At 47.4% G+C, this 21,812-nt stretch overlaps 1 protein-coding gene across 3 annotated transcripts, besides 3 other annotated features; it reads left to right on the top strand.

The window, feature by feature from the left end:
* PGD (phosphogluconate dehydrogenase) lies at window positions 267-21,714 on the top strand. Of its 3 annotated transcripts, none has more exons than NM_001304452.2 (13): window positions 267-533; window positions 832-907; window positions 1,596-1,775; window positions 4,274-4,339; window positions 5,364-5,482; window positions 9,274-9,343; window positions 12,621-12,755; window positions 14,265-14,454; window positions 18,190-18,320; window positions 18,579-18,712; window positions 20,029-20,128; window positions 20,620-20,742; window positions 20,833-21,714. In NM_001304452.2, exons 2-13 carry the CDS (start codon window positions 863-865, stop codon window positions 20,950-20,952), a joined length of 1,413 nt encoding a protein of 470 aa, NP_001291381.1. In that variant the 5' UTR covers window positions 267-533; window positions 832-862; the 3' UTR covers window positions 20,953-21,714. The 3 variants fall into 3 exon arrangements, with proteins under 3 accessions (NP_001291381.1, NP_002622.2, NP_001291380.1); NM_002631.4 differs by having other exon boundaries at window positions 267-328; NM_001304451.2 differs by lacking the exon at window positions 4,274-4,339 and having other exon boundaries at window positions 267-328.
* Window positions 445-764: a silencer, noted in NCBI's record as "silent region_245". NCBI's record gives its function as "represses an Ori minimal core promoter by ATAC-STARR-seq in GM12878 lymphoblastoid cells {active_cell/tissue: GM12878}" and the evidence as "EXISTENCE:reporter gene assay evidence [ECO:0000049][PMID:35858748]".
* Window positions 857-1,033: a silencer, noted in NCBI's record as "fragment chr1:10459711-10459887 (GRCh37/hg19 assembly coordinates)". NCBI's record gives its function as "represses an EF-1alpha promoter that drives an FKBP-Casp9 reporter gene in an ReSE screen in phorbol 12-myristate 13-acetate-treated (for megakaryocytic differentiation) K562 erythroleukemia cells {active_cell/tissue: K562(+PMA)}" and the evidence as "EXISTENCE:reporter gene assay evidence [ECO:0000049][PMID:32094911]".
* Window positions 10,501-10,701: a silencer, noted in NCBI's record as "peak70 fragment used in MPRA reporter construct". NCBI's record gives its function as "represses an SCP1 promoter by STARR-seq MPRAs in K562 erythroleukemia cells {active_cell/tissue: K562}" and the evidence as "EXISTENCE:reporter gene assay evidence [ECO:0000049][PMID:32103011]".
* Window positions 21,715-21,812: the final 98 nt, after the last annotated feature.

Genomic DNA, 21,812 nt, shown 5'->3' on the forward strand with positions numbered 1-21,812 from the left:
CCGAGGTGCAGCTGGGACGAGCGGAAAGCTCTGCGCGTGGGCGGGGAGCCCGGAGCCTCGCCGGGGCAATGTCATCTAGGTGCTCGGCGCTCCACTGATCCGGCCCCCGGGGGTGGGCGGGCACGTTTGCCTCGGATGGTCTAACAGGCGTCGGGGAGAGCCAATGGTGTGGCTTCATGGCTCCACCCCCTTCCATTCGATTGGCCGGCGCCGAAAAGCCGGGCGTGAGCGGCCGCAGTTTCTGGAGGGAGCCGCTGCGGGTCTTTCCCTCACTCGTCCTCCGCGCGTCGCCGCTCTTCGGTTCTGCTCTGTCCGCCGCCATGGCCCAGTGAGTGACTCGCCAGGGGCAGCCCGGCTCGGCCTCAGCGGGCGGGGAACTCTTTGGGGGTCGAGATCTCCCTCGTTCTCTCCGACGCCTCCCACCCTGGGGGTCGCCTGAGCTCACTTGGGGCTCTGTGACCCTGGCCCTACGGCGTCTCGGGCCCAGAGCTCCTTCCCTGCGGGCCCGGCCCCCTGCCCTCTCGGCCGCGCAGGCATGGGGCGGGGCGGGTCCCTTCGAGGGCCAGGGAGGAGGCGCGGCCAGGCCTCGCCGAGTCTGCAGGGACACCTGCGGGACGCGTGCCAGCGGGAGCCGGGCGCGAGGGCGGGGCTGGGGGCCGCCTGCCCGGCCGAGGCTCTGCAGCGTGCGCGCCCGGCTTCTGGGGGCCCGCGGGAGGCGCGGAGGAAAGTGCAGACTCCCAGTCACGGCCAAATGTGGAAGGACCGGACCCCTGGGTTGCAGCGCGTCGAGCGGTGCTGACTCTTTCCTTTGTTCTGTTTCTGCCTCTCTAGAGCTGACATCGCGCTGATCGGATTGGCCGTCATGGGCCAGAACTTAATTCTGAACATGAATGACCACGGCTTTGTGGTAAGCGGCGTGGGCGCGTTGTCTTCTCTCTGGTTCCCGGGCGCTTTAGCCGAGGCCGGCGATAGGTTTGGGAGCTTACGGGTCTCCTGGCCGTGCTTTGCTAATGTGCTCTGTTGCTGCTCGTGGCATTTTTGTATGGAAAGGAGAAGCACCCTGTAGGCGTGGGCGGGCCGATCCCGAACTTAGTCCTGCGGAGTGTGCCTGTGGGTCCGTGAGGTTCACAGCCCGAATGAACGAATTAGTGTCTTAAGTAGAGAAGAAGGGTGCGGGAGGAGAACCCTTGCTGGCTGTGTAGAGCTCTAACTTGATTGCCTGATGAGATCTGGGGAGAGTGAAAATGTTTCTTCTAAATGTTAAAGTGGCTTAGACGCCAGGATGATCAATAACAACAGATAGAGCCTGTTGAACCGGCCAGTTCCTGGATTTGATTTTGAGTCCTAACACGTTGGGTGTGGATTCTACCTGACACACCGGGGGTAGTTGGCCTTCGCCTCGGTTGTCCGCCGTTTTCATCCTACTGAGGTGACATAACTTTACAGTGAGCCTCCCACAGCTGGGGGAAGAAAAGGCAAAGGCAGGTCTGACCTCCCCAGAACTTGGGTTGAATGGAAAGGTCATTGTTACTTTGGCCACAGTCTGAAAGTCTTGTGTGTCCTGGATCTCCTACTCAGGACTTTTGTCCTTCTAGGTCTGTGCTTTTAATAGGACTGTCTCCAAAGTTGATGATTTCTTGGCCAATGAGGCAAAGGGAACCAAAGTGGTGGGTGCCCAGTCCCTGAAAGAGATGGTCTCCAAGCTGAAGAAGCCCCGGCGGATCATCCTCCTGGTGAAGGCTGGGCAAGCTGTGGATGATTTCATCGAGAAATTGGTGAGGCCAGCTGTGCTCTCAGCTGCTACCACGATAGCAGCTGTTTTTGGTTTCTTCCTTTAGTTCTCCTTCTTTTAACTCTAGAGATTTTTTTTTTTCAATTTCTGCTAAGCTCTGACCAAATGATTGCTTAACTGTTGCAGTGTTGGTTAACTTGATAAGCGCTTATGAAGTAACTTTGTCCTTTGGTGGTAGTAATTCTGAGAATACTAACAGACATTTCAATAAACATTAAGGCGGGGCACAGTGGCTCAGGCCTGTAATCCCAGCACTTTTTGGGAGGCTGGTTCAGATGGATCGTTTGAGCCCAGGAGTTCGAGACCAGCCTGGGCAACATGGCGAAACCCTGTCTCTACATAAAATTAAAAAATTAGCTGGGTATGGTGGTGTAAGCTTATGGTCCCAGCTACAAGCTTATGGTCCCAGGTTCGAGACCAGCCTGGCCAACATGGTGAAACCCCGTCTCTACTAAAAATATAAAAATTAGCTGGGCTTTGTGGCTCATGCCTGTAATCCCAGTTACTCGGGAGGCTGAGGAATGAGAATCACTTGAACCTGGGAGGTGGAGGTTACAGTGACCTGAGATTGTGCCACTCCAGTTTGGCGACAGAGCGAGACTCCGTCTCAAAAAAAAAATGAAAATAAAATCAAGATCTCCTTAGGGAATCCTAGGGAACTGGATGCTTATTTTTGTACCAAACAATTTGTTGGCTTTAGCAGGTATATCTTTTTTGGAAGAAAAAAGTAGGGGAACCAGTGGAAATAATGTGTTTAGATACCCAAAATAATTCTATAGTAACAACTCTGAAAAAACCCAGGCACTCCCATTTAGAAGAAATGTTTTGCTGTAAGCAGTGCAGTGATAGCTCAGGGGAGGCTGAGCATTCCTTTCTAGAGGAGTCGTGTCAACAGTGGGGTTGTTTCCACAGGGAGAAGGATTTGTAACCAGTATGCCACTGTTTTTCAATCAAATGACCTAGAAAGGAAGAACACTGAGTTTAAAAAAAGGACATACTAAATTTTTTGTGTGGCAAGCTGCCTGTAATCAGTTTCAGACAGAGAAAACTGAAAAATGGTGGATTATTCTTCAGTATAGGAAAATACTAAGTAATGTTAACTGGAGCCTTGTAGGGGGAAGATTGAATAATATAATGAAGCCCAGGCTGGGCGCGGTGGCTCACGCCTGTAATCCCAGCACTTTGGGAGGCAGAGGTGGGTGGATCATGAGGTCAGGAGATCGAGACCATCCTAGCTAACACGGTGAAACCCCATCTCTACTAAAAATACAAAAAATTAGCCAGGCGTGGTGGTGGGTGCCTGTAGTCCCAGCTACTTGGGAGGCTGAGGCAGGAGAGTGGCGTGAACCCGGGAGGCAGAGCTTGCAGTGAGCCGAGATCACACCACTGCATTGCAGCCTGGGTGACAGTGCGAGACTCCGTCTCAAATAAATAAATAAATTAATTAATTAATTAATAAAGTAATAATAATAATAAAGCCCAGCCTGGTTGGTGTGCTGTAGGTAGATATTCATGTTCAAGGCTCTGTCTCTTCCTGACCTCCGAACTGTTGTCATAAAATCATTCATTCATACACTAAACCATTTGATATGTATTTACTGAATCCCCACTCTCTTCTAGACACATTATAGTCAGTGTTTAATCTGTATACTTACTTAAAAATAGAAATGGGGTCTTGCTATGCTGTCCATGCTGGTCTCAAATTCCTGGGCTCAAGCGATCCTCCTGCCTCAACCTCCCAAAGTGTTGGGATTACAGGTGTGAGCCACTGAGCCTGGTCAGCCCTAAACTTTTAAATAGTGTGCAGCTCTGGCCACAGAGAGGATTATTGAAGATTAAGTAGGCTGGGTGCGTTGGCCTCCTGCCAAGCCAGGAGGCTTTTAGCCCAGGAGTTTGAGACCAGCCTGGGCGACATGGTGAGACTCCATCTCAAAAAAAATTTTTTTTTTTTGAGACGGGGTCTCACTCTGTCCCCCAGGCTGGAGTGCAGTGTTGCGATCTCAGCTCACTGCAAGCTCCACCTCCCGGGTTCACGCCATTCTCCTGCCTCAGCCTCCCGAGTAGCTGGGACTACAAGGCGCCTGCCACAACGCCCGGCTAATTTTTCGTATTTTTAGTAGAGACGAGGTTTCACCATGTTAGCCAGGATGGTCTTGATCTCCTGACCTTATGATCCACCCACCTCGGCCTCCCAAAGTGCTGGGATAACAGGCGTGAGCCACCGCGCCTGGCCTACAAAAAAAATTTTAAAACTAGCTGGGCATTGTGGTTCAAGGAGTTCAAAGTTGCAGTGAGTCATGTTCACACCACTGCAGGAGTTCAGGGTTTCAGTGAGCCATGTTCGCACTCCTGCATTCCAAGCTGGGCAACAGAACGAGACTCTTTTTAGACTATGTTTATTTGGAATAAATTCTTGTTTGTTTTAATTTGCCAAGGTATGTTTCATTTTTGGTCCATCTTAATGCTGGTGTCTGGTTACAGGTACCATTGTTGGATACTGGTGACATCATCATTGACGGAGGAAATTCTGAATATAGGGACACCACAGTAAGTGTTCTTCAGTCCAGATTCTTCCAGGTTCCGAGAACATTCTAGAAAAAAGTGTCAGCATCGCATATGTGACAGTAGGGTGAACTGCCCTGTGGTACTGATTTTTTTGAGATTACTACTGATACAATAGTTCTCAGCCTTTTTTTCTGTTAAGACACACTTAACAGAAGGGCCGGGTGTGGTGGCTCACACCTGTAATCCCAGCACTTTGGGAGACGGAGGCAGGTGGACCAAGAGGTCAAGAGATCAAGACCATCCTGGCTAACATGGCGAAAACCCGTCTCTACTAAAAATACAAAAAATTAGCCTGGCATGGTGGCATGCGCCTGTAGTCCCAGCTACTTGGGAGGCTGAGGCAGGAGAATTGTTTGAACCTGGGAGGCAGAAGTTGCAGTGAGCCGAGATCATGCCACTGCACTCCAGCCTGGGCGACAGAGTGAAACTCCATCTGAAAAAAAAAAAAAAAAAAAAGACACTTGGTGGGTGAGATTCTCAGTCACACATACAACTCAAAGGATGACTAACTCAGATACAGCAGGCTGAGAATTACGTTTTAACTCCTCCCCTTCCCCTTCCAAGTAATCCATGATATGTCAGTCTATAACTGGTTTAGAACCACTCCTCTAATGGTATCAAATGCTGAGGGAATTCCTGTGTGCTCTGAAGTGCTGAATGGCATTAAGTTGTATTACACCTACTCTTCGTTGAGTCTTATTCAAGGTCTTTTCCAGTAAAATGCCAATGTGTGTTTGGCTTAATTATTTTACTTTGGGGATGAGGTAGGTATCGTGAATGTCCATAGTTGTATTGTTTTGTTTTTTAACTCCTACACATAGGGGATTAACTTTCCTGAGTCATCAGTTATTCCTAGATCCTTGGGTCATTTCCTGTAAATGTAGGCTCTCCATTCCTATCTTATACTTCCTCTCATTTATAAGGGAAACATTTTTGGGTAGCATAATGAAACATGGAAGCATAATGAAACATGGAAGCATAATGAAATTATTTTTCTGTCCTTCAGAGACGGTGCCGAGACCTCAAGGCCAAGGGAATTTTATTTGTGGGGAGCGGAGTCAGTGGTGGAGAGGAAGGGGCCCGGTATGGCCCATCGCTCATGCCAGGAGGGAACAAAGAAGCGTGGTGAGTGCCATCAGCACTGTGCCCATCTCTGTACAAGGGAGCTGGACTTTGAGAACGAATAAGCCAGGAGCAGTTCTGCCACCCTGATCTCTGTGGTGCCCTGAGTGTGACAGCTGGGAGATGCTGGCAATTTCTTTTATCTAGACATTTTGTTGCTTTGATATAGTATATGTGCACAATCCTCTTTTGCCTTTTTTCTTCTGTTATTTCTATCAAGACTGATACCTGACGTTCTAAATAGGCTTTTTTTTTTTTTCCCGCCCAGGCAGGAGTGCAGTGGTGAGATCTTAGCTCACTGCACCCCCCGTCTCCTGGGCTCAAGCAATTCTTGTGCGTCAGCCTCCTGAGTAGCTGGGACTACAGGCACATGCCACCATGCCTGGCTAATTTTTTGCCTTTTAGTAGAGACAGGGTTTCACCATGTTACCTTGGGTGGTCTCGAACTCCTGACCTTAGGCGATCTGCCCGCCTTGGCCTCCCAAAGTGCAGGGATTACAGGCATGAACCACCACACTTGGCCTCTAAATAGGCTTTAAGGAAGCAGTTTAGGTAATGTTCTGTGCAATGTCTGGATGTAGGAATAAGGTCTGCCTCTTTTAGCTGATATATAACCCAAAAGTAACTTAATGTGATAATCGTGGGTAACAGGCTGGGCATAGTGGCCCATGCCTGTAATCACTGCCCAGCACTTTGGGAAGCTGCGGTGAATGATCATTTGAGCCCAGGAGTTGAAGACTAGCCTGGACAACATAGCGAGATCCTGTTTCTACAAAAAAGTAAAACAAACATTTTTTTAATTAAAAAATATAAATTGGCCGGGCGTGGTGGCTCACGCCTGTAATCCCAGCACTTCGGGAGGCTGAGGCAGGCAGATCACCAGGTCAGGAGATCTAGACGATCCTGGCCAACATGGTAAATTCCTGTCTCTACTAAAAATACAAAAATTAGCCGGGCATGGTGGCGTGCGCCTGTAGTCCCAGCTACTTGGGAGGCTGAGACAGGAGAATTGCTTGAACCTAGGAGGCAGAGGTTAGTGAGCCGAGATCGCGCCACTGCACTTCACCCTGGCGACAGAGTGAGAGTTTGTTTCAAAAACAAAACAAAACAAAACAAACAAAAAATACACACACACACACACACACACACATATATATAAATAATTGTGGGCAATCCGATATATATATAAATAATTGTGGGCAATCCGCTTGCCCTGGCCTCCCAAAGTACTGGGATTACAGGCGTGAGCCACCGTGCCTGGTCTGAAATATGATTCTTTAAGGCTGGGCATGGTGGCTCACGCCTGTAATCCCAGCACTTTGGGAGACTGAGATGGGAGGATCACTTGAGGTCAGGAGTTCAAGACCAGCCTGGCCAACATGGTGAAACTCTCTACTAATAATACAAAAATTAGCCGGGCATGGTGGAGGGCACCTCTAATCCCAGCTACATGGGAGGCTGAGGCACAAGAATCACTTGAACCTGGGAGGCAGAGGTTGCAATGAGCCGAGATCTCACCACTGCACTCCATCATGGGTGACAGAGCGAGACTCGGTCTCAGTAAAAAAGAAAAAATGATTCTTTTTTTGAGACGGAGTCTTGCTCTGTTGCCCAGGTTGGAGTGCAGAGTGCAGTGGCGCGATCTCTGCTCACTGCAAGCCCCACCTGCCAGGTTCACGCCATTCTCTCGCCTCAGCCTCCCAAGTGGCTGGAACTACAGGCACCCACGACCACGCCCAGCTAATTTTTTGTATTTTTAGTAGAGACGGGGTTTCACCGTGTTAGCCAGGATGGTCTTGATCCCCTGATCTCGTGATCTGCCTGCCTCAGCCTCCCAAAGTGCTGGGATTACAGGTGTGAGCCACTGCGCCCAGCCAAAAATAATTTTTTTAATTACCTTTCTGGTGAATGAGTCTGGGGATTCTCTTCAGTGTGTTATTAATAAAACACAGAAGTAGAGAGGCCTTTCTGCTTCTCAGAAGTTTAAACAGCTGTGTGTGCAGTGGCTTGCACCTGTAGTGCCAGCTATTCAGGAGACTGAGGTGAGAGAACTGCTTGAGCCCAGGTGTTCAAGGCCAGCCTGGACAACATAGCAAGACCCTGTTTCTTAAGAAAAAAAAAAAAGGTTTGAAAATACTTATCTCGAAGCACCTGCACAGTGAGCAGTTAGAAAGGCAACCAGCAGACAATGCACGTAAAAGTATTTGACATATGGAGTGCTCCAGTTGTTTCCATCAGTTCTCTTTCCTCATACTGTGGTGGCAGAAGTACAAATGGCACCTTTACCAGAAGGACACTGTAAAAGTTCAGTGAAGCTCTGCGGTTTCCGGTGTGGCTGTCTTCATCCCTAATCCTAAATGTTAACTTTGCAACCCTGTAAGATTTCATGTCTGTACCAGAAACTTTTTGTGAGGAAGCCTTGACTGGCCATTAGGGAGCAGAACAGTGAGGGAAAGTCTCAAGAGTAATATATCCGCGTGCTGAGCTGTGGAAGGAATGAACAGCGGCCTTTCTCTGAATGGTAATGTAGCTCTCAAAAACGCTGCCTGGTTCTTAATCCAAATGTCCAGAACCATTCTGTGCCTGGCAGCACACATCCAGACAAATGAAAGAGGGTCTCTTCACTTGCTAAAAGCCATTATAAGGAGAAATAAAGAAAAGGGAAAAAATTAAAAGAGGATCTCTAAAGGAACTTTCGTATTGCCTGCTGTTTGCAATCATACTGTCTGCTGCTGCTGCAGTAGAAATTTCTGAGCCGGGTGCGATGGCTTATGCCTGTAATTTCAGTGACTCAAGAGGCTGAGGTGGGAGGAGTGCTTGATCCGAGGAGTTCAAGACCAGCCACATCAACATAGGGAGACCCCATCTCTGCACCACCAACAAAAAATTAGCCAGGCATGGTGGCTCACGCCTATGGTCCCAGCACTTTGGGAAGCTGAGGTGTGAGGATTGCTTGAGGCCAGGAGCTCAACACCAGCCTGGGCAACATAGCAAGATCCTGTCCCTACAAAAAAAAGTTTTTAATTAGCTGGGTGTGATGGCACACACCTGTAGCCCCACCTACTTGGGAGGCTGAGGCAGGAGGATCACCTAAGTCCAGGAGTTTGAGGCTGCAGGGAGCCGTGATTGTGCCACTGCACTCCAGCCTGGGCAACAGAGTGAGACCCTGTCTCTAAGAAGACATTTCTTCTGGTGCTTTGGTGATGCTTCTGCTCAGCCTTTCTGTCTGTAGTCTCAGTCCGATAGTCCAGTCTGCTTTGAGGGCCCACCAGGACCTGGAGGAGGGGCCAGTTTCAGTCAAGGGTCTGCAGTTGACCTTGAGAACTTAGCACATTCATTATCTTTTTGTGGGCACTTCCACCTCCCATTAGAAAGAAAAAGATGGGCCCAGTGCGGTGGTGGCTTATGCCTGTAATCCCAGCACATTGGGTATCCACGGTGGGTGGATCACTTGAGCTCAGGAGTTCGAGACCAATCTGGGCAACATGGCAAAACCCCATCTCTACAAAATCCAAAAAAATGAGCTGGGTGTGGTGTCACATACCTGTAGTCTTAGCCACTTAGGGGGCCGAGGCAGGAAGATTACTTGAACCTGGGAGGTTGAGGAGGCTGCAGTGAGCTGAGATCACACCACTGCATTCCAGCCTGGGTGACAACGTGAGACCCTGTCTCAAAAAAAAAAAAAAAGAAAGGAAAAGATAGGGGTTGGTGTCTATGGGTATGTTGGTGTCTATGGGTATGGGCTCTCAGCCCGTCTCTTCTCATTAACTGAACCACACTGTTTCTTTACACAGGCCCCACATCAAGACCATCTTCCAAGGCATTGCTGCAAAAGTGGGAACTGGAGAACCCTGCTGTGACTGGGCAAGTTCTGGGCTACTCTTTAAAGCCAATTGGCAACATGGGCGTGTCTAAGTGATGAAGTGCGTGGAGAAAGGCCACCGTGGTCTCCCAGGGGTTAGCTTGGTGACATAAACGTCTCGATCTTTGATTGCTAGAATAGCCAACGCCTAGAATGCATGCCTGCTGTTCACATCTTTGTATCTTAGCTGACTGTTCATAGCCTTGAGGTTGATATTAAAAGCAGCCTTCTATAATTCATCTAAAAGATGAATTCTTTAAAAAGGAATAGGATGAAGTGAAATAAGATTTTTTCGAGCCATATTATTTCATGGCCAAAGGAAAGAATGTCAGAATCAAAAGTGGCGTTTGCTTGCATGGGTGAAAGGTGGAAGATTGAAGGTACTGTTGCTGTGTCAACATTCCATGAACGTGGAAAATTCCCCATCCTGTAGTGTGGGATTCAGGCATTCTGTGCTTGAACAAAGTAACCTGTGGACTTGCACCCTCACTGAATATGAAGGAGGCCTAACCTAGTTCATAGTACAGTGGTGCGATCTTGGCTCACCGCAACCTCCACCTCCCAGGCTCAAGCAATCCTCCTGCCTCAGCCTCCTGAGTAGCTGGGACTGCAGGTGCATGCCACCACGCCTAGCTAATATTTGTATTTTTTGTAGAGACGGGGTTTCACCATGTCACCCAGGCTGGTCTCAAACTCCTGGACTCTCAAGTCATCTGCCTGCCTTGGCCTCACAAAGTGCTGAGGTTACAGGCATGCGCCACCATGCCCGGCCTCGTGTTGCTGTTAAAGTAAACTTTATCTCATATTGTAGTTCAGCCATGCTGTGGATGGAAAAAAGCATTAGGCTCAGGAGACCTGAGTGGCAGTTCTGGCTTTCCATAAACTTAACTGTGACATCAGGCAAGCCACGTCCCTTCATGGACTTCAGTTTCCTTATCTGTAAGATATGGGGTTGGATTACATGATCTCCAAGCTCTCTTCAGCTCCTGATTCCCTTTAATTTTATATCAGCAATTTTAATGTGAATTTTATTATTCAATTTTATTTTATATGAAATCAATGCTGAGGTTGAAATAAGGACTCAGGCCTTTGAGGAATCCGGGAAGCCCTCCCTCCTAGGCCTGCCAGTGCTTGGTGGCTTTGGCCACAGCAGCTCACTTGTCCTTACCTTTTCACCAGTGGTTGGCCATTGAGCTCAGTCAGAATCTGCTTAGGGTAGAAAGAGGCTGGTGCTGGGACTGACGTAAAGAGCTGAGTAATCTTCTCATTAGTGTGAAGGATTGGAAAGGGACCTCTGTTCCCTGACAGTAGATTACTGCGGTAAAAGGCCGGGTGTAGTGGCTCGTGCTTATAATCCAGTATTTTGGGAGGATCCCTTGAGCCCACGAGTTCAAGGCTGCAGTGAGCAGTGATCATACTACTGCACTCTGGCCTGGGTAACAGAGAGAGACCCTGTCTCTTAAACAGAAAAAAACAAAAAGATCACTGCAATAAAAGTGAGTGGTAGCAACTTTTTTTTTTTTTTTTTTTTTTTTTTGAGACAGTCTTGCTTTATCGTCCAGGCTGGAGTGCAGTGGCATAATCTCAGCTCACTGCAACTTCCGCCTCCTGGGTTCAAGCGATTCTCATGCCTCAGCCTCCATTGTAGCTGGGATTACAGGCATGTGCCACCATGCCTGGCTAATTTTTGTATTTTTGGTAGAGATGGGGTTTCACCATGTTGCCCAAGCTGGTCTTAAACTCCTGACTTCAAGTAATCGGCCCACCTTGGCCTCCCAAAGTGTTGGGATTATAGGCGTGAGCCACCGCACCCAGCCTGCAACTTTTTTTTAGATACACACACTTAGGACAAAGTCATGAAGAGAAGCACAGTCCTTGCCCCTACGTGTGTTGATCAAGCAGGCCCTCCTTAGTTCATGGCTGAAGTGGCAGGAAGGGTAAGGTGAAGTAAGATGTTAGCAGCCATGTTACTCTGTGGCCAGAGTGTCAAAATCAGAAGTCAGCAGGGGCAGCAATAGAAACATGGACAAGGCCAGGCGTGGTGGCTCATGCCTGGAATCCCAGCACTGTGAGAGGCTGAGGTGAGTGGATCACCTGAGGTCAGGAGTTTGAGACCAGCCTGGCCAACATGGTGAAACTCCATGTCTACAAAAATTAGCTGAGTGTGGCGGTGTGCTCCTGTAATCCCAGCTCATCAGGAGGCTGAGGCGTTAGAATTGCTTGAACCCAGGAGGCAGGTGTTGTGCTGAGCCAAGATCACACCGCTGCACTCCAGCCTGGGCGACAGAGCGAGACTCCGTTTCAAAAAAAAAAAAGAAACACGGACAATGGAGTCCTGATGTGAGCGTCAGTTATACAACTGACGGTCCAGGTGGTGACAGCCAGGAGAGAGACTGCCCAGGTCATCCAAACACCTGGCCTCCTGGGCAGGTGTGTCCCTGTCATGGAGCTGGGTGTAGATGACTGAGAGTTTGATGCCATGAACTGTTTGGCTCTCGTCACTCCCTTTGTTCCAGTTCTTGACAACTAAATAATTTTCGGATAATCTGGCTTCCCAGTTGCTTGTCTATAGGGCCAGAATGTGTTGACCGGACTAACATTTGTAACCACGAAGATCCATAGTTAAGGTTTTCATCCTACATTCATTAACGGGTATTCTGATTTTATACATCTTGCCAGCTTATAAATAAAGATCTGGTCTTTATTTATAAATATAAATATAAATATAAATATAATGATGGGGCCTTGGAGGGACTCCTTTCTGGGCTTACAAGGTTGAGACCTTGGATCTAGGGTCATTTTACTTTTCAGTAGCCATTAGGAACAACTACAATACATTTATATTTTGAAAAAAAACAAGTGATTTAATTGGCCAATATATTTTAACCTCTAGTTGCTAGAAAAGTGGTAACTTTGGGAAAAAGAGGACTTTTTTTCTTGTGGGTGGGGGCTGGGAAGGTGGGGAGTTGCTTTGAATGATGAGAAAGAGTAGAAAATACAGGCTAGAGAGCCATAAGTATTGAAAGTGAATTCAGGGACTTTGAGAAACCTTGAGAAGAATGAGTCTAGAATTAGTGTTAAATAATATTGTACTGGACTGAAGCTTGCTTTGAATTGCTATATGATTCTTGTATCAAAAATGCTGTACTCATTTTATACTTGTTATTTTTTGTGTGGAGAGGTAGCCTTGCCAGGGATGTTGGCATGAAAGCTGATGTGGACTTCTCTGATGTGTCGCCTGTTTCTCTGAAGGCCTCTTGGTGCTTGTTGTCCTGACAGGTGGGAGATGAGGGAGCAGGCCACTTCGTGAAGATGGTGCACAACGGGATAGAGTATGGGGACATGCAGCTGATCTGTGAGGCATACCACCTGATGAAAGACGTGCTGGGCATGGCGCAGGACGAGATGGCCCAGGTGAGGCCCCGGCACTGCCTCTGTGTCCGTTCTGCAGGGAGTGCTCACTTTGCCACAGACACCGAATCTTTTCTTCATTCCTATCCCCTTGGCCATTCGGGTGGCCTGCATGGACTCAGCCTAATTTGAGGGAAACTGTTAGTAATAGGCCTATACACTATGCTAGTCAGTCACTAAGCAGAAAGTCCCCACAGAGTCTGGGTGGTTATCATCACCACCATTTAGCGTAGCTTACCTGGTGTCAGGCACTGTGTCACTCCACATACCTGTCCCATTTACTCCCACAGTTGTCCCACATGGCAGATGCAGCAGAAGCTTTCTTTCCTGATCAAGTTGGGATTGGCTTTTTGATAGTTAATCTGAAAAGTCAGTCCAAGTAGGGAAGCTGAAGCATTTCCCCCAACATTTTATTATGACAATATTCAACCATGCAGCACAGAAGTTTGAGAGTTTTACAGTGAACACCTGGATACACACCTCCTCCTTTCTCCCATCCACAGGTTCCTGTACTTGCTTTAGCAATGTCTGTCCATCCCCCACCAATTTCATCTTATTTTTTGGATACATTCAAAGTAAACTGCAGGTATCCATACTTTTGTTTTCCCTAAATACTTTAGATGAATGTATCTTTATCATGAGGTAAACATAGATTTTAACTGAAAACATAGGAAAGGACTTTCATTCACCCGCCATTTTTTGGAGGGCCAAGGCCTTCTCGTTAAGTATGGTTTGCTGATGCGCTTTCTAGTCGTGTCTTACCATCTAGAATTTCTAGTTTCAGTTATTTCCAATGGGATGTGATTTACAGACTCTAGCAAGGCATACAGTATAGCTTTCCAGATTTTTTGTTGTTTTCCTCCTAGTTTTTTATTCATGTCATCCTCACTTACTTTGACTATTGTTTGTTTCACTGGATTGCTGTTAATTGTTCTTTCTAAAACATTACCTTAGTTTTCTTTCACAGAAACAGTGCTATTCTTTTTGTGTTCATTTTTTATTGGTATATATAATACTTAACGTGTTCACTCAGCAAACACACGAGTGCTTTACTATATGCCAAGCATGATTCTAAATGCTGGGGATATACTAGTGAAGAAAGCAAAGTGCCTGCCCTCCCGGAGCTGGGAAGACAGACAGAAATAAATATACAATATCAAACTAGTTAGCGATGACTGTGAGAACGAAGAGTAAACTGGGACAAGATCCGGTGATTGCAGAAGGCTTCTGAGGAGGCGACACTGCACAGAGACCTAAGTGAAGTGAGGAGCCCTTGCCTCTGAGGAGACAACACTTCTGGTGGCCAGAAATTCAGTATAACCAGGTTCAGAACAAACACAACTGACTCTGGGTTAGCATAAAACTCAACCAGCAGGAGCAGAAGTCCCCAGGCAGACGCGAGCAGAGCCTGCTGGCAACCGTGAGCATTGGTCAGCGTGGACATTGGACAAGGGGCTTCCTTGCTCAGCCCTCATTCCTCTAACATGGTTCTCTCCTGTGTTCTGCATGTAGGCCTTTGAGGATTGGAATAAGACAGAGCTAGACTCATTCCTGATTGAAATCACAGCCAATATTCTCAAGTTCCAAGACACCGATGGCAAACACCTGCTGCCAAAGATCAGGGACAGCGCGGGGCAGAAGGGCACAGGGAAGTGGACCGCCATCTCCGCCCTGGAATACGGCGTACCCGTCACCCTCATTGGTAATGTTATGCTTTTCACATGGGCCCTTTCGTCCACTATTCTGATCTTGATGTCTGGAGGACAGATACAGACTGGTCTTTAGAGAATCTCTTCAGCCCTCTTTAGCTTTCAGAGTGCCTTTTGCTCTTTCTTGCGTTGAAGAAACTGACAGTGTGAGAGAGGCTGACGCTGCTTTTGATTCTCTTCCTTGTAGTTCTTATCTCATTCGTACAAACTGTGAGGTAAATTCAGAAGTGACTGTCCTTCCTATCCAGTTTTATCTTTGGAATATTTTAGCATTAGTGATGTAATTGTAGTCAGTGATCTAAGATTTTATTTATGAGGCAGGTAACTTGAGTAAAATTTTTCATAGAAAAGTTCATGAATAACAGGGCCGGGCACAGTGGTTCACGCCTGTAATGCCAGCACTTTGGGAGGCCGAGGCGGGTGGATCATGAGGTCAGGAGATTGAGACCATCCTGGCTAACATGATGAAACCCTGTTTCTACTAAAAATACAAAAAATTAGCCAGGTGTGGTGGCACGTGCCTGTAGTCCCAGCCACTCAGGAGGCTGAGGCAGGAGAATTGCTTGAACCTGGGAGGCAGAGTTTGCAGTGAGCTGAGATGGCACCACTGCACTCCAGCCTGGGTGACAGAGCGAGACTTCGTCTCAAAAAAAAAAAAAAATTAGCAGGTGCCTGTAATCCCAGCTACTCAGGAGGTTGAGCCATGAGAATCGCTTGAACCCAGGAGGCAGAGGTTGCAGTGAGCCAAGATCATGCCACTGCACTCCAGCCTGGGCAACAGAATGAGACTCCATCCCCTCCAAAAAAAGTTTGCGAATAACATATGCTTGTGTACTCAGAAATTATTAAAAATTTACTTTTTTCCCCTAGATATTAAAAAGATAAAAATTACCTATCCATTTGAGTCCTCGTTGTTTTGCTAAGTTCCTTCTCCTTCCTCTTTTAGAAGAAAGCCACTATCCTGAAGTTGGTGTGTATCCTGCCCACTTGTTTTATATCTTACATTAGTGAGCTAAGCATCAAACTCAGAAAGATAAGGAAATAATATAAAGAAATAAACATAAAACGAGAGGGGATTAACAATATCAAAATCTTGGCCGGGGGGGTGGTTTTCAGTGTGTTTGTTTGTTTTTTGAGACGGTGTTGTGCTCTGTCACCCAGGCTGGAGTTCAGTGGCATGATCTCGGGTCACTGCAACCTCCACCTCCCGGGTTCAAGTGATTCTCCTGCCTCAGCCTCCCGAGTAGCTGGGATTACAGGCATGCGCTACCATGCCTGGCTAATTTTTGTGTGTTATTAGTGGAGACGGGGTTTTACCATATTGGTCAGGCTGGTCTCGAACTCCTAACCTCAGGGGATCTGCCCGCCTCGGCTTCCAAAAGTGCTGGGATTGCAGGCGTGAGCCACCATGCCCAGCAAAGGTGGTTCTAAGAGTAAAATACATAGACTTCTGGCAGGAATGAAAAAGGAGAACGAAGGATGCCTCTCGTGGTTAATGAGAGGCTGATCTTTGCTTCTGGCAGATTGTTCTCACTATATTAAAACAGAATTGGGCCAGGCGCGGTGGCTCACGCCTGTAATCCCAGCACTTTGGGTGACCGAGGTGGGCGGATCACGAGGTCAGGAGTTTGAGTCCAGCCTGACCAACATGGCGAAACCCCATCTCTACTAAAAATACGAAAGTTAGCCAGGCATAGTGACCCGTGCCTGTAATCCCAGCTACTCAGGAGGCTGAGGCAGGAGAATCACTTGAACCTGGGAGGCGGAATTTGCAGTGGGCTGAGATCGCACCACTGCACTCCAGGCTGGGCGACCGAGCAAGACTCCGCCTAAAAAAAAAAAAAGAAGCATCTCAAAAATAATAAAACAGAATTTTTCCTGTTTGCTCCTCTGGATACAGGTTGCCTTTCTCTCCCTTGACTCTTCTCCCCTTTTGACCTCCCTGTTCATTGTGCCTCGCCCTATTGAACTGTGTGGTGTAAGGCAGAGTAAGGAGGAAAGTCGGTGGTTTCTACAGTTCCGTGCTGTATAGAAGGAAGTTGGCTGCTTTTAGCCGATCTGAGCCATAACATAGGTGAGGAGGGAGGGGCCAATAGCTAGGAGCAATTTATTCATCACGGACTCAAGTATATGTGTAAGTATTAGGATCTCAGAATCCTACTCTCCTCCTGTGGATCCATATACCTCTTCCCCCAGGGTGGCTGGGCCCACCCCCTGCTGGGAGCCATCATTATTTGTGAACTAACAGGGAAGTCTTCCAGCTGCCCTCTCCCCCTCTAACAGGAAGGGTTTGCCTCATAGCCTGTTGCACCAGTCATCTTACAAAGCTTCCTTCTAGAAATGCTAAGTCATCCTGTGTGTGCATTTGGGCCAGGAGAGAGGTAGCTGCTTTTGTGTGTTTGGAGTAGGGTTAGCAGTCTCAAGCCATAGCTGCTCCTCTTTCCTCAGAAATAAAGTCCTCTGTTAGTTCCCTGAGATTTTACTTCATTTTGTCTATGGGGGAAAAAGTGGTTAAAGAGTCATTTATTCTAACTATAAGTTGTCAGTTGAGCAAGTCTTTTATAAGGAATACTTTCTGAAAATACTAAATGTCTTAATATTAAAATACTACATTGACTTTTTAATTCAAATGAAGTAAAGTGGTTAAACTTGAATGATTACGGCTATACTGAAAACCGTAAAATATAAAAACCTAACATTTTTTTGAGAGGTGAGTCCGTAAATGTGACTTATCAATGTAAAATCTTCAAAAAAAAAAATTAAGGTCCTCTAAATTGAATTTGAAATTTTACTCATGGACCAACACTGAGTATTCTACATAACAGTGGTTTTTATTTTATTTTACTGGTTTTAGAGACAGGGTCTCACTGTGTTGCCCAGGCTGGAGAGCAGTGGTGTGATCATGGCTCACTGTAGCCTTGAACTCCTGGGCTCAAGTGATCCTCCCACCTCAGCCTGCCAAAGTGCTGGGATTACAGGTGTTAGCCACCTTGCCCAGCCATAACAGTGGTTTCTATCTCTTCATTTTCCCTCAAAACTCCCTTTTGAATTTCATGTTAATCTTTGTGATTGAATACTCATGTTTGTATTGGAAGATTGTCTTAAGAGTTTTAGTTATCAAATTAACTGTTTAGAGCTTCTTATAAAAGTTCCTTCCGATCCATGTCAACTTTTGTGGCCTAAGGTTGAAACTTTCAGCTCTTTGTATAAACAGACTTTCCTGCTCCACCTTTCTTCTGGTTGCTGTGCGAACTTTGGTAATTTTCATGCGCATCCGTGTGAAAAGACCACCAAACAGGCTTTGTGTGAGCAATAAAGCTTTTTAATCACCTGGGTGCAGGCAGGTTGAGTCCGAAGAGTCAGCGAAGGGAGATAGGGGTGGGGCCATTTTATAGGATTTGGGCAGGTAGTGGAAAATTACAGTCAAAGGGGGTTTTTCTCTTACGGGCAGGGCCGAGGGGTCACAAGGTGCTCAGTTGGGGAGGTTCTGAGCCAGGAGAAGGAATGTCACAAGGTTAATCGCTCAGTTAAGGTGGGGCAGGAACAAATCACAATGGTGGAATGTCATCAGTAAAGGCAGGAACCAGCCATTTTCACTTCTTTTGTGATTCTTCACTTGCTTCAGGCCATCTGGATGTATACATGCAGGTCACAGGGGATATGATAGTTTAGCTTGGGCTCAGAGGCCTGACAGTAATCTGTTTCCTCTTCCCGATCTCCCCATGTAGGAGAAGCTGTCTTTGCTCGGTGCTTATCATCTCTGAAGGATGAGAGAATTCAAGCTAGCAAAAAGCTGAAGGGTCCCCAGAAGTTCCAGTTTGATGGTGATAAGAAATCATTCCTGGAGGACATTCGGAAGGTGGGACACAGTCCCTGGCAGTGGTCTTTGTTGGTCCTGCGGAAGGCAGTGGGGGTGGGGGTTGTGGTGGGAGAACACTCGAGGCCACAGGATGGCAGGTGGAATGAAGTTCAGCCTTGACTTGGATCTTGACTTACAATGTTTTCCTAGAATATTGGCCCTTCTGGGATCTCCACTGCTGATGAGAATAAGACTGGTAGACATAAGGCGGTCACTCTCCTAATGGCAATCCTAGTAGGTCTCTGTGTCACTCTTTAGGCACTCTACGCTTCCAAGATCATCTCTTACGCTCAAGGCTTTATGCTGCTAAGGCAGGCAGCCACCGAGTTTGGCTGGACTCTCAATTATGGTGGCATCGCCCTGATGTGGAGAGGGGGCTGCATCATTAGAAGGTAAGTGAGAGGCAGCCCAGGGTCCGACGGGAAGGACTCACACGGCTGTGCAGAAGTGCGATCTTAGGACACTTAGCTTGAGCAGTTTCCAGGGATGGGCACTTAGCCCCATCACTGGACACTGGCACAAGATAGGCTTAGATTATGTGGTTCCCTTCTTCACTGTACCTCAGTTGCTGTAACTAGATTGTCCACACTACACCTTTTTTTTTCTTTTGAGACCAAGTTTCGCTCTTATTGCCCAAACTGGAGTGCCATGATGCGATCTTGACTCACTGCAACCTCTGCCTCCCGGGTTCAAGTGATTCTCCTGCCTCAGCGTCCTAAGTAACTGGGATTACAAGGGCACGCCACCATGTCCGGCTAATTCTTTTGTATTTGTAGTGGAAACAGGGTTTCACCATGTTAGCCAGGCTGGTCTCGAACTCCTTGCCTTGGGTGATCTGCCCGCCTCAGCCTCCCAAAGTGCTGGGATTACAGGCGTGAGCCACTGCGCCCGGCTCCGCATTACACCTACTACACTACACCTTTTAAAGTACTTCTGTGAACTATCGTGCCCTCTGGCCTTGCCTCTTGGGAATTTTGCTCTGTATTTTCATTGAAAATGCCAAATCATAGAAAACGTAGCATTTCTACACATGACGTTACATCGTTCTCATGTTGGCTGAAGATTCATTTGATGAATCTGATTTTTCTGAAGTAGATGATTCTGGTGATTCAGATGATTCTAATATTAGTTCTCTTTAGAAATAACGCCAAGAATAGTTTTTATATTTTATTTTCATATTGAAAATCGTCAGATTTTCTTCAGCCTCAAAAAGCGTGTTTATGTAAAATTAAATGAGCGCTGGCAGCGAGCTGCACTTTTTTTCTAAACAGGAAAAGGGTTAACAGCTTGAAGAAATGAGAAATGTAACTTTGTTTCACTAGGGTATACATCGGCTTCCAGCTTACTTCCCTGTTAGAGTTAAGATTCATTGCATTTGGCCGGGCGCGGTGGCTCACACCTGTAATCCCAGCGTTTTGGGAGGCCGAGGCAGGCGGATCACGAGGTCAGGAGATCCAGACCATCCTGGCTAACACGGTGAAACCCTGTCTCTACTAAAAATACAAAAATTAGCCGGTTGTAGTGGTGCGTGCCTGTAATCCCAGCTACTGGCGAGGCTGAGGCAGGAGAATCGCTTGAACCTGGGAGGTGGAGGTTGCTGTGAGCTGAGATCGTGCCACTCCACTCCAGCCTGGTGACAAAGCGGGACTCCGTCTCAAAAAAAAAAAAAAAAAGACTCATTGCTTTTTTCCCCCCTTGATTATTTCAGTGTATTCCTAGGAAAGATAAAGGATGCATTTGATCGAAACCCGGAACTTCAGAACCTCCTACTGGACGACTTCTTTAAGTCAGCTGTTGAAAACTGCCAGGTATGTAGCCTAGGGCTGGTGCCATGGTTACTCTACCTCCCTGGGGCCATCAGTTGTGATGTTTGGTTTTTTGTTTTTTTTTTTTGGTTTTTTGTTTTTTTGAGACAGAGTCTCGCTCTGTCACCCAGGCTGGAGTACAGTGGCATGATCTTGGCTCACTGCAACCTCCGCCTCCTGGGTTCAAGCGATTCTCCTGCCCCAGCCTTCCTAAGTAGCTGGGACTACAGGTGTGCCAACATACCTGGCTAATTTTTTTTTTTTTTTTGTATTTTTAGTAGAGATGGGGTTTCACCATGTTGGCTAGACTGGTCTTGAACTCCTGACCTCGTGATCCGCCCACCTCAGCCTTCCAAAGTGCTGGGATGACAGGCGTGAGCCACCGCGCCTGGCCTAACCATCAGTTTTTCATTTACCCACATTGATATGAATGAAAATCTATCCGCGTCACCAGGGGCAGATCACTAATCTCTGGCCGTGCGTTTTGTGCTCAGGACTCCTGGCGGCGGGCAGTCAGCACTGGGGTCCAGGCTGGCATTCCCATGCCCTGTTTTACCACTGCCCTCTCCTTCTATGACGGGTACAGACATGAGATGCTTCCAGCCAGCCTCATCCAGGTAAGCCTGTGGAGCAGGGATTAACCTGGCTGGCCCCTCGGGGGCGTGCGCCATGGACTGTCCTGACCAACCTACTCTCTCGTTTCCTAGGCTCAGCGGGATTACTTCGGGGCTCACACCTATGAACTCTTGGCCAAACCAGGGCAGTTTATCCACACCAACTGGACAGGCCATGGTGGCACCGTGTCATCCTCGTCATACAATGCCTGATCATGCTGCTCCTGTCACCCTCCACGATTCCACAGACCAGGACATTCCATGTGCCTCATGGCACTGCCACCTGGCCCTTTGCCCTATTTTCTGTTCAGTTTTTTAAAAGTGTTGTAAGAGACTCCTGAGGAAGACACACAGTTTATTTGTAAAGTAGCTCTGTGAGAGCCACCATGCCCTCTGCCCTTGCCTCTTGGGACTGACCAGGAGCTGCTCATGTGCGTGAGAGTGGGAACCATCTCCTTGCGGCAGTGGCTTCCGCGTGCCCCGTGTGCTGGTGCGGTTCCCATCACGCAGACAGGAAGGGTGTTTGCGCACTCTGATCAACTGGAACCTCTGTATCATGCGGCTGAATTCCCTTTTTCCTTTACTCAATAAAAGCTACATCAGACTGATGCTCTTTCTCCAGATTCTTAGTCTCACCTCGGCCACATGGAGCCATTATCCCCATTGGCAGAAAGATTTTTCTTTAAAAAAAAAGACTAGAATAACACAAGAAACCACATTTAGGATTATGCTTCACTCAGAGGAGGCAGGCAGGGAGGACACACCAGGGGCTTTAATACACTGGGCATGTTTTCTTTCTCCAATTGGGCAATGGGTACATGGACGTTCACTGTAACGTGCTTTTTCTTTCGTCTTTTTTTTTTTTTTTTTTTTTTTTGCTCCTGGCAAGCTGTGCGTGACATTCTTTATGGCTTTTTGTATGTCAAATACTTCATACTAAACTTTCTAGAGAATTAAACTTTAATGATGGGCTCAGCTTGGTCTGATTTATTTCCTTTCCCACACCTGTCTCTACTTGCTCTAAGCCAGGCCCAGGGATTTTGAACAAGCTAAGCCGGCTCCTTAAACTAGGC

This window comes from Homo sapiens, chromosome 1, assembly GCF_000001405.40.
Source record: "Homo sapiens chromosome 1, GRCh38.p14 Primary Assembly".
Lineage (NCBI taxonomy): Eukaryota > Metazoa > Chordata > Mammalia > Primates > Hominidae > Homo > Homo sapiens.